Raw genomic sequence first — 11,654 nt, forward strand, 5'->3', positions numbered from 1 at the left:
ATGGATTCCTTGTACTAAAGCCAGGTAATTATGTGAAAAATGCATTTTGGGTTTACTCTTGAGTGATTACTATAATCCAAATTAAATTTCCTCCCTTTCTTTTCTCCCCCATTCTTTCCTATTCTAAAACATACCCTGGAGCTCTTCTTTTTTTAAAAAAAAAAAAAGACACCGGGTATGCTGTGTGCTCAAGTTGGGATGCAGTGGCTACTTACAGGCACCATCCCACTATTAACCAGCACTGGAGCTTTGACCTGCTCCATTTCTGACCTGGACTGGTTCACTCCTCCTTAGGCAACCTGGTGATCCTCCACCCACATGAGGTCACCATATTGACGCCAAACTGAGTGCAGACACCCAATTGGCATAGCACACAAAAGCTCAGAACTCCTGGGCTCAAGCAATCATCCTACCTCAGCCTGAGCAGCTGGTACTACAGGCGTGTGCCACCGCACCAGACCCTTCTGTCTTTAAACACACCCAGCTCTTTCTTCACATGTGCTCACTGGCTTTTCTGTGTCTTCCTCTACCCCATCCTTCTTTCCCACACTATCCTTTATTATGTAGCATAACGTAGCTTGTTTCTCAGAGAAAACCCTCTCTGGGAAGGGGGATGTAGAATATACAAATAGCAGGTGGGAGCAGAGAGAGGGCTGTGAATATTTCCATTGGTAATTTTTGTCCTTTTTGCAATGTGATTTGGCACAATGGGGGAAGATCATTACATATTCAGGTAGAAATATTTGAAAACTTTACTTTCTTTGGCTCTCTGTCTTTCTACCCTGCAAGCCTAACCTTATGATATGTGCAACATGACATCTGCCTCCATCACTACTGTATCCTATTTGTGCAGTCCAATGTAACTCTATTTATTTATTTTGGCAGCCATATCATGTTGTTCAACATTTCAAAATTACATTTGACTAAATTTCCAGTGTTACCCAGTTATTTGTATAATTAGTTTTTGGATCTAATTCAAAGATTTTACATTCGTTCTTCTTAAAATTCCATTTTTATACTCTAGCTTATGAATAGTTTTAGAAACGATTCTCTGTTATCCAACATACTACCTAGTCCTCCAATCATCTTGTCATCTGTAGCATTTGATAGGAATGCCATCAGTGTGCTCATCCAAACCTTTGATAAATATGTCAAAAAAGACGGGCCCAGGAAAGAACCCTGAGGCACACAGCTATAGAATTCCCTTCAGGTTGACATGGAATTAGCATTCTTGGAAATGATCCTTCAATTATCGATGAAGTCACCTGATTGTACTTGCATCCACTCCAAATTTCTGCATGTTATCCACAAGGATTTCATGAGAAACACTGTCAGATGCTTTGCTAAAAGGCTAACACACTGTGTTTGCAGCATTTCCTTGACCTACCTGAGTAGTAAACCCATGTATAGTTCAGTTCAACTTCAATTTTAAATGAATTTCAAGTTAAACTAAATTAAGCAAAAGAGATGAATTTATAGGTTCACCTAACCGTACATTCTATCCTCCAGAGCACTGGCTGTCTCTGCCTCTAGGCTCTACCACCCTGTGCATGAGTCCCATTCTTATGCAGCCTCTTCACTCTTAGAGCCAAGATGGCTACACCAGCTACAGAGCTTCTTTCCCCAACAGCTCCTCTAACCTCTTAGAACTGAGTTGCATTGTCCCTGACTAGATCATGAGCCATCTCTAAACCAAACCCAGGGATAATCTGAGTGGCTAGCCCTGGGTCACATGCCTGCCCTTGATGACGGAGCTGCACTCTGTTCTACCCAAATTATACAAACTCACAGATTATTTTAAAAGCCTCACAGATACCAAAAGAAAAAGAATGAACAGATATTTTCCATATTCAAGAAAAATATTTTACTTCTCAATGTAGGTTCCACAGTATCTTCTGAACATATTGTTTTTCTCAAGGATTATTCACATTATATATTTATACAACCAATTACCTTCTATGTATTTATATACATATATCAACCATATATATGTATAGATACAGAATAATGTCTATACCTGCACATATATAAAATCTCTAGTTATAAAGCAGTTGAAAGCATGCTATGCTTGGATAAACAAGGTATCACCAGATGTTTATTTCTATAGGGCTGAGTAATGAGTATTCTCCATTCTGCAGCTGGCCAACAGACTTCAAACTCACTCACCACAGAAATCTGGGCAAGAAAACCTGTCCACAGATGAGAGGTGGGGTATCATGTATGCATTCTGTGGTGAACTGTTCTACTATGAAGTGATAATTTCCTGGTCCTGATTCATTTGGATGGCAATGGTAATCACAATCCAAAATATAGCGGTCTTAAAGCAACAGGAAATACCAGAGTTGAGAGATATAAGAACAAGAGTTATACTTTGGCTTCAATATAACTATCAGAATCTGGGGAATCTGGGGCTGCAAATTGCTTTTTCAGAGATGGATTCTCCAAATGCACTTAATAATGGTCAAATTCGTTCATCACCAAGGCATTCTCCCAGGCCCTAATCTGTCCCAATCACATTCAAGTCCATGGAGAAAGAAGTTTCACTTTTTACCATGCAAAAATCTGGTAATGGGAAAATGCAGGGATGAAAGAGCTCTTAGGGAACACTTTGAGAGGACGCTTTGGAGGAGAAAATCTTGGGAACCTTTATCTCATGGGATTGATCAAGAATCATTTGTAGCCAAACTCAATGGCAAAGTGAGGACACTTCAGGTATGACTGCCTGACGAGGTCACCATATTGATTCCCACTCTATCCTTAGATTTCTCATCTCTGTACTGTCAGGTGTCCCAGAAGGAAAGCCAACAGCAACAAAGACAGGACCCCACGCTCCCCTGTGACCACCCCCACCAACAATACAATATGACCTTGGCCTGAGTTATATACCTCTGTTGGTAGGTAATACCTCATAGTGGTTTGTGTCTGCCTCTTTCCTGTTCTTATTTTACATGGTGTCCTGTCTTTTGTGTTAGGTGAACTTGATGCTGCATCAGAGTCAACATCTACCTGGGCAGCGACAGAATCACCATATCTGACACTGAAAGGTAGATAGGTAGGCAGCAGAGAAAAAAATAAGAGGATTGCCAATGTCACAAATAAATCAAGCTTGGCCTGAATGTACTAGATGTAAAAATGAACACAAAAATCTGTTGGGATTTTTGTTAATATGCAATACTTATTAGCACGTGAGGTATTACTCTCAGAGAAAGTAGAGAAAAAAGCGGGTATTTCAGGAAACTAAGAAAGAAGGCCAATAAGCCACCTTTTCTTGACAAAGTAGAGCCAAGCCACATAGCCATGGGAGTGTTAGAGCATTTTGGTACTTTCCACATTGATCAATAACATTAAATGCTGCACTTAAGTCTAACAAAATGAAATTAGCAAGAACATATCAATGAACACAAAGAACCTGATCATTATCACTCCTAGAATGTATAGAACAACAACTAAAATGTAATTTATCTAAGGGTCTCACCATTAGAAAATAGAGCAGTGTCTCAATTTTCTTTCCCATTTTCACAGTAAGAAAGTCAATCCAGTGCTCCAGGCACTATTACATTAAATATTGATATAGAGTCACCATATAGTAGGTTTTCCTTCTAAGAAATTGATAAATTCTTAATGAAGAGTAGGGAGACAGAGCCCAACATGAATGGGTAATTCATTCAAATACAGTTGACTTTTGTCTTTAGAGTTGTTCTTTTTCCATATTACACAAGGAATGATTTTCCTCTGGATTTAATTTTTCTGACACAAAAACATATATACCTAATAAATATTTCTAGATTATAAATGAACATTCTTGGAAAGCTTTCATTAGGCATAAATAAAAATGAACAAAATCGAGTAGGCAGCTAGCTGACTAAAACCTGTATTTTATGAGAGGCCAAACAATCAATAGCACCTACTTAGGAAAAGAAAAAATAAAACCCGGTTGGATATGTGGCTTCTTCTCCTGCCGCTTTCTGAACCTTTGAGGCTGCACAATTCTCTATGCTGTAGATATGCAGAAGACATGGAGACTATAGTGCTCTGAAGCTAAAAGGGCTTTGAGATGTACATCTGCATTGGGGCTGCACAGAACCATCTAGATATATAGTTGTCAGTTCGAGAGTTCAGCTCCATTCACTTCAACTCAACAAGTTTCCATTAAGCACTTAGGTAGAGAGGTATAATAAGAAAGCTAGAAATAGAAAAGGCACAGAAGACATGATTCCAGTCCTCAAGATGTGTATCACCTGGAAGATATTCAAAGCACACATACATGAACTAAATAGCCAAGATTAATGTGTGATGACAATATTTATCAAGCTATATGCAGAGATGCTGAGTGGAGGAAGCTAATTAAGGAAGACTTTTTGGAGTTTTGAGTTGAAATTTAAAGAAAATGACAAGGCTATCTTTTGGCCTCAACTTGCATGCACCCACATGTGATATGAACAGAAAGAGTGCCTCAGTTCAAATATGCAGTAGGAGCGCTCTTTGGATTTAAAAGATCACTAGGGAATGCTCTTTGTAACTTAGAAAAGATGTATTTCATGGAACTGGGTATGTATTTTTCTAAAGATCCCACCAGAGCTCTGCTCAGGGAATGGCCAGTGAGATGTCCCGTACAATTTCCAATTGACCTCTAACCAGGCAATTGGCACCTGGAGGGCAGCCCAGCCTGTCCAACAGAAACATCAGTAGAATAAGATAACTCCCTTATATAAAAAAGATCACAGGGAATTAAATATATTAGTGCATTAGACAATCCAATAAAAATGGAAACATATACCGTATTTAAAAGAAGGAAAGTGAATGTCTTGAGAAATTCCAAAGAGTATTCCACAACCACAGTGTTGAGGTTTGAATTAAACTAATCAAAATCAGTCAAGACAAGTAGCTAGATAAAATTACATTTACTAAGTTTTACAAGCATTCCTATTGATTAGTACCAGGCCTTCTGGATGTATCTGAATGAGAGATTCTGTCCATGTTGTGAAAAAAATGAATGAAGAGTCTTTAATTTGCTTTTAAGACCATGGTTTTGGTATAATGAATACCTTTGTTTTTGAGCATTTCTTTTCTCCTATGTTCTCTTTTGCCTGATGGAAACAATAACACTATATTTTAGTTGTATTTACCCATGTAATTTCCTAATTATTTATTGTTGCACATGTGTAGACTCAGTACTTAAACCTCCCATTGGTTGACTTCCCAATCTCTTATCAACACAAGGCTGTAGGGTGTGGCAGTTGAGAGTATGACTAAACAGTCAGGCTGCTGTCTCCAAATCGCCGCCTTGTCATGCACTATTTGTGTTACCTTAGACAACTTACATAAAGTCTCTATGTCTGTGGTTCCTTATCTACAAAATGGAAGAAATAATAGACCGCACATCATGCATAGTCCATTATTTGTAAACATTTACAGTGATAATGTAAGAAAAGCTAGGTACAATGTCCATAGTTGGCTCTCAAAAGTATTTGTTAATTATTATCATTGAAATAAAAATAATCCTATTAACTTTGATTAATGTGGTTACAAAATGAACATTATTGTGCCACAGCTTGCAATTTCTTAGTATTATCATTGAATACTTCCCTGCCTAATTGCCTTAGTTATGGTCAATTAACTCCACGTGGGCTTCCAAATTGTTCCAGATTCTTTCTGAGTCCTTTAGATGAGGGGTGATTTGATCCTCACCTGATTTATAAGGACCTACTCCAGGTTGACCTTCATTTTTGACATGACAATAACTAGACCAGATCTGGAGGCAAGAAGTTAACTTTCACCAAACATTCATCCTGTGCTCTTCTTTTCTCCTACAGAATTTCCCATCTTCTAATTTTCATACTTTTATTATTTATGGCTTACTATATGTTTTTCCCACTAAACTATAAGCCCCAGGGAAAGAATGATCTTTGTTTTATTCTTGGAAGTATGCCAGTTGCCTAGGAGAGTTCCTGACACATAGTAGGAACTCAAGAAACATTTGTTGAAATGAATCAACTTGTTGAAATGAATTGAGTGCAATGAGCCTCACAAAGATGTCCTGCTTTGGACCATATTCATTCAACAAATATCAATTAATTAGGGCTACCATGCATATTTAACCATCAGAGAAGTCTCTTGCAGAGAATGCAATCCCCAAAGCATATGCAAAGTGGTCTCTAGTGGAGTACACACTAAGTGTACCTTATTTGGGGCTATTATAAAATACAGTACTGACAACTGAGATGCTTGCTAACCAACTGGAGAGACAGGACAATTACAGAGAAAAGTATAACTGAAATGTCAGACTCTATATATCCTGTGCCTCGAGAATGATAGTGAGAGTGGGGGCTGGCATTCAGTTGAAGGAGAATGGTAGAAGAAAGGTTTAAAGGCAAAAAAAATGCAATGACGTGTTCACAGGAGACCTGTGAGACTATGGCAGAGGTTGTGAAGTACAGTGGAGAAGGTATTAATGTTGGAAAAAGAAGTGTTCACTGCAGGCATTGTCCCTTACAAACATTGACTGCACAAAAACTGACATGGCCCCTGTACTCATGGAATTTAGTCTATTGGGGGGTGACAGAAATTAATAAAATAACCACTCAAATAAATGTAAAATTACCTCTTCTTGGGAGCATTTAACACAGGAACACATACTATTAAAAACGCACATAGGGTATATCACCAAGATCAGGGAAGGCTAGGGAAGGTTTCCCTGAAGAAGAGAAAGGAGAGAATTTGCCTGTTTCTCACTATTATAACTTGAGGTCAGAAAGTGTCCTATTTTACCTTTGTCTTTCCAGGCAGCATAATACATATACAGTATCTTAATCCACTTGTGCTACTATAATAAAATATCACAGACTGTGTAATTTATAAAGAGTGTATTTCTCACAGTTCTGGAGGCTGGGAAGTCCAAGATCAAGGCACTGCATTTGCTGTCTTGGGAGGGACTTCTTGCAACATCCTCACATGCCAGAAAACAGAAGGGCAAGCTAGTTGAAGGCTGTATGAAGACTCTTTCATAAGGGTCTTAATCTCTTTCATGAGGGAGGAGCACTCAAGAACGAATCAGCTCTTAAAAGCCTTACCTCTTAATACTATCACACTGGCAATATATGAATTTTGGAGGGCACACCTTCAAATCATAACACACAGTGTAGTTTTGATGAGTGACTAAATGAAGGGGTGCAGACTTTGGAGGGCATTGGATTTTGAGTAAAGGATATGAATTTTATTCCAAATTAGATCCCACTCTGAGCATACTTCTACTAAGCGTGGTGGGAAAGTCCATTTTAGTTATTATTTTGCTGTCTGTCATTCCAAAATACACTAGAATCTGGAAAACTTGTCTGAATCTCAGAAAAAAAAGGATCAGATCTCTATTGCCTATTCCAATGTGAAGATGCTGACCATTCTTATTTACTGTGCTCATTGAAGTCCTTTACAGCCCCTTGAAGTCCTGTGACTCTCTTGCTGTTTTTTTTTTTTTTTTTTTTTGAACAGTGGCATCTGGGAATCTTTGCTAAGAATGTGAATATGGTCCCATCTCTTGGGTAGACCCTAAAGCCGTTGCTTCTGAAGTCTTAACTGCTTTGGGGGGCATTGCCGTGGAAGACACACTGTATTCCCTATCTTTTTTCTGAATCTGTAGCAATCACCCTTTCTCACCTCTAGCTACCTTCAAAGACATTAACGCTATCTTCAAAAAACTAGGTTACCTTTGAGAAATGGGATAGGAGATATTAATAATAGAGGGGTAGGGGTAGCATTTGGGTATCCCCTATTAATTAATATCTCAAGACTCTTCCTGCCACACCTAGATGAGAAGCTTAGAGTTCTTATTTTTGACAATGATGTTTTCAAATGTATAAATGATTCTCTAACTTAAGGGGACAAGATGGATTGTAGGGGGGCAGGTGGGGAAGGCATTATTGGGAAACCAATGAGAAGCTTATGGCCACAATCTACATGTGATGTAAAAAGATTCTGGACCTTATTGGTGGCAGTGGATGTGGGAAGCAGAGCAGACATTAGAGGCATATAGAAAAGACTTTAGTAGCTATGGGATACAGATCGTGTGAGAAGGAAGATTTAAAGTCTCAGTGAGTGGAAAAAGTTGACTTGGAGGGAAACAGGGACCATGACATGAACATGTTAGCAAGACAGTCATTGATGTAGAGATGTTTAACTAGATGATGAAGCTGTGAGGTTGATCCTCTGGGAGAAAGTTAAGTGCAAGAGAACATTTTGGGAATCACTGGTAACAGGTGGTGATTGAAAATGTGAAGATGAATGAGAACCCTGAAGGAGAAAGTTAGAGAGAAAAATCAAGACAAGGTTGGACCTTGGAGTTTGGTGGAGTTTAGACACAGGCAGCTAAAATCCAGAGGCCTTTCTCATGAAAAAGAAAATCTCCCTAGACCACTGACACTGAAACCTGGAGTCAAGCCAGGCTGACCTCTGTGAAACTAAAAGCCGTAGAGAGGACAGAAAGAATGAGAATGGCCAACTTCCTAAAATTAATTTAGGAAACAAATATTAAAAAGCTATTACAGTAGGCTACTAGAAACTTTGTCGGTTCTAGTTTGGTGGGAAGAAAAATCAGGAGTTCAGGAAAAAAATAGGTGGTGAGGAAAAAGAGGAAGGGCTTGAAGACCCATTCTTTTAGCAATCTGGAAGGGAAAGGATGATGAGAAATATGAAAATAACTAGAGGGTGTTATAGAATAAAATAAGAAATTGTTTTCTCTTTCCGAGTACCTCAAGAAAATGTCTTTTCCAAGGAGGCAGAAGTATCAGATTTACACTCTTAAAGGAAATAACCAGATTTCTATAACATTTTGCCATTTGTAGGTAGTCATACCGGAAGTTGTTCACCTAAATTACTTGGCCCAGGGTCTGCCGCGACTCAGTAAATGATTAAATGTCCATTTTTGTGGCCTTATGAAAGAGACACTCACCATCACAGCACAGTCAGCAATGATAATGGATTCTTTATTTCTCTGTTGCCATCATGGTTACTAAAGCTGACCACTCCTGCCCAGTGGCTGTCAGTTCTGCTGCAGAGGATACAAGGAAGAGAGAGAGAAGTTGGAAAAGAAATATATACTCCAGTCCCACACAGAGATCTAAAGGGTTGGATTTAGATGTGTGCTCTTTTCAGAATTTGGATTAGGAATAAGCAGAATGGAGCCTTGAGAACAGTGCCTCTGGCACCATGACTCACTACTGAGGATTTCATTAGGAGGAGAAGTACATATCCTTCAGTCAGTCATCAGGAAATTATGACTGCCTGCTTATTCCACCAAATCCTGCAGAAGTTAGCTGGAGAGGGTAAGAGTCTGGGGGTGGAAACTTTGCACTGCAATGCTTTCCTTGCCTAAATCCAATCTTTTCTATTTCAAGTCATGAAAATACATATTTTTTAGATGTATTGAGAGACACACGTACAGATATATATATATATATATACAGATATACATATACAGATATACAGATATATGTATCTGTATATATATTCATAAACATTTACCTGTCAATGTAACTTAGGGTGCCTTTAAATAAAAATCTCAACTGAATTAACCTAAAATGAAATGTTCTGTATACAAGTCCCCAAAAGAAGATGAACCCTAAGAAGGACTACTTAAATTCATCCCAGAGAAAATAGGGAATAAATGAGCATACCAGGTAGAGTTAGAAAGTTATTTTGGTGAACTGATTTCTATATAATATGAAGGAAGATTACAGCTCACAGGGTTTTATATTTTAAAATAAATCATTGCATAGAAGCATAGGAAATAGAACTAAGAATTTTGTTCTCATGTCAAGTTAACACTTTCCTCCCTTTACAGAATTCAAAATTGCAGTAGGAAAACACAATTTAGGCAGTCCGTCACTCATTCAACCAGAAGGCATTGGGGGGCCTCCCATGAGCCAGGCACAGTGTTAGGCTCTAGGACAAGATGGTGAACAGAAAGGTCTTTCTCACTTGCATGGAGCTGAGAGGTTAGTGGGGGTAGGGGAAAAGAAGTAAACAAATAATGGCACTGATGATTGTATAATTACAAACTGAGATAAGTGCTTTAATGGAAAAGAATGGAGACTTCTAAGAAGCAACAACAAAGGACTCCGAGTGGGGGGCATAGACCTGGGAAGGCTTCCTGGAGAATGGGCTATTTGAGCTTAGATCTAAAGAACAAGGCTGAGTAAAAGCTAACCAAGAAGCAGGTGGGTGGCGGGGGGAGCATCCCAGATCCTGAGAAGAGCTTGCACAAGGGTGAACCCCACCCCCACTCCCAACCTCCACAGGGGCCAAGCAGGGCAGCTCCTTGTTAAATATTTGGTCTTTATTCCAACATCAGTGGGAGGCCATTCAAGGATTTTAAGCAGGTTGGTGACATGATCAGATTTGTGTTTTGAAAAGAGCACCCTGGCTGCAATGTTGAAAACAAATTGGAAAGACATTGTTTAAAAGCCAATTGTTGCACTAAGTAAATGCGAAGGCCTGCAGCTGTCACAATCACTATCGTGTGGTCACCTGACCCCAGTAATATTTTTCTCTGCCCCTGAGGACATTTGGAAGCTATTTGCAGTGAAGAATTAAGAATTTCTTGATTCCAGATTATTATATGTCAACCTTTGAGCTAGAGACACAATGTTTTTCTGTCTGCTCAAAATTTTGATTGGTACAACTAATCACTGTTCCTGTTGGTGACAGTCCAAACAAGGCCTAACAAGCACATGTTTGCATTTCAGAGTCAGGGAGAGCAGCAGATTCCTCCTCTTCTCCTTCCTTCTTTGTATTGTACTTACTCATCACCCTTCTACCTTCCCTATCTGCACTTTTACTCTCCATGCTTTTTACCCATCTCTAACTTCCCTGGTTCCCCATCATACCTAGACTCCCAGTCAGTTATTTCAACAGAGCTGTTGCTGTAGTGCCAGACTGAGGAGGACAGGGAGAGGAACTGGCAGGAGCCAGGCAGGAGCCAGCCATCTCTGACTAGCTTGTAACCTTGTCTTGGAAAGGACAGATTGCAAAGGCCTATTTATCAAACCTCAACTAACCAGGACTAAAACCATGTGTATTGCCCTCATCAGAACCCCGAGTCCCCATTGTCATGTTAGTAGTCCTGGAGCCCAAGCAGGGCTGAGATGGAGTAGAGAGCTGGACATCTTAGCTGGGGTACGTGGTAGAATATGGGGACAGGGAGCTAGTTAGGTTCTGATGACTCCAGCCTGGGAAACCCACCTCTCAATATATGTATACCTGCCTCCAAGTTGCAAAACATTGCTGTAGAAACTAATGTGCTCTTAGATGGCATCCAAAATGTACCCTCTGCCACGTTGAAAGCTCTCTTCACCATCGCAGGCAAGTGGCCATGACCAGGTGTTAATAATATGCCTTTAGCTGTTGTCTTCTTATGTTGACTCCAAGCAGACCCCTCCCTTAATTTCCACTAACTTAAGCTAATTGCAGCCTCTGCAGCCATGCAGGCTAATCCTTTGTTGACAATAAAACCCTTTAGTACTTTCAGTGTGTCATTATGTCCCCTAGATTTTCTGCAGGCTGGAGCTCCTTATTTCTTGGCATGGGTGCTTCTCTGCTGAGGTTTCCAGTGTGTTATCATACTGGCTGCACTTCTGTGGACCTGCCAAGAGTCTACCATTATT

The 11,654-nt window shown here is 39.5% G+C and overlaps 1 pseudogene, besides 1 other annotated feature; it reads right to left on the minus strand.

The window, feature by feature from the left end:
- RN7SL782P (RNA, 7SL, cytoplasmic 782, pseudogene) lies at positions 167 to 460 on the minus strand (annotated as a pseudogene).
- Positions 5,102 to 5,396: a silencer, noted in NCBI's record as "tiled region #5849; HepG2 Repressive non-DNase unmatched - State 24:Quies". NCBI's record gives its function as "represses a minimal TATA promoter and a strong SV40 promoter by Sharpr-MPRA in HepG2 cells {active_cell/tissue: HepG2}" and the evidence as "EXISTENCE:reporter gene assay evidence [ECO:0000049][PMID:27701403]".

This window comes from Homo sapiens, chromosome 5 (assembly GCF_000001405.40).
Source record: "Homo sapiens chromosome 5, GRCh38.p14 Primary Assembly".
NCBI lineage: Eukaryota > Metazoa > Chordata > Mammalia > Primates > Hominidae > Homo > Homo sapiens.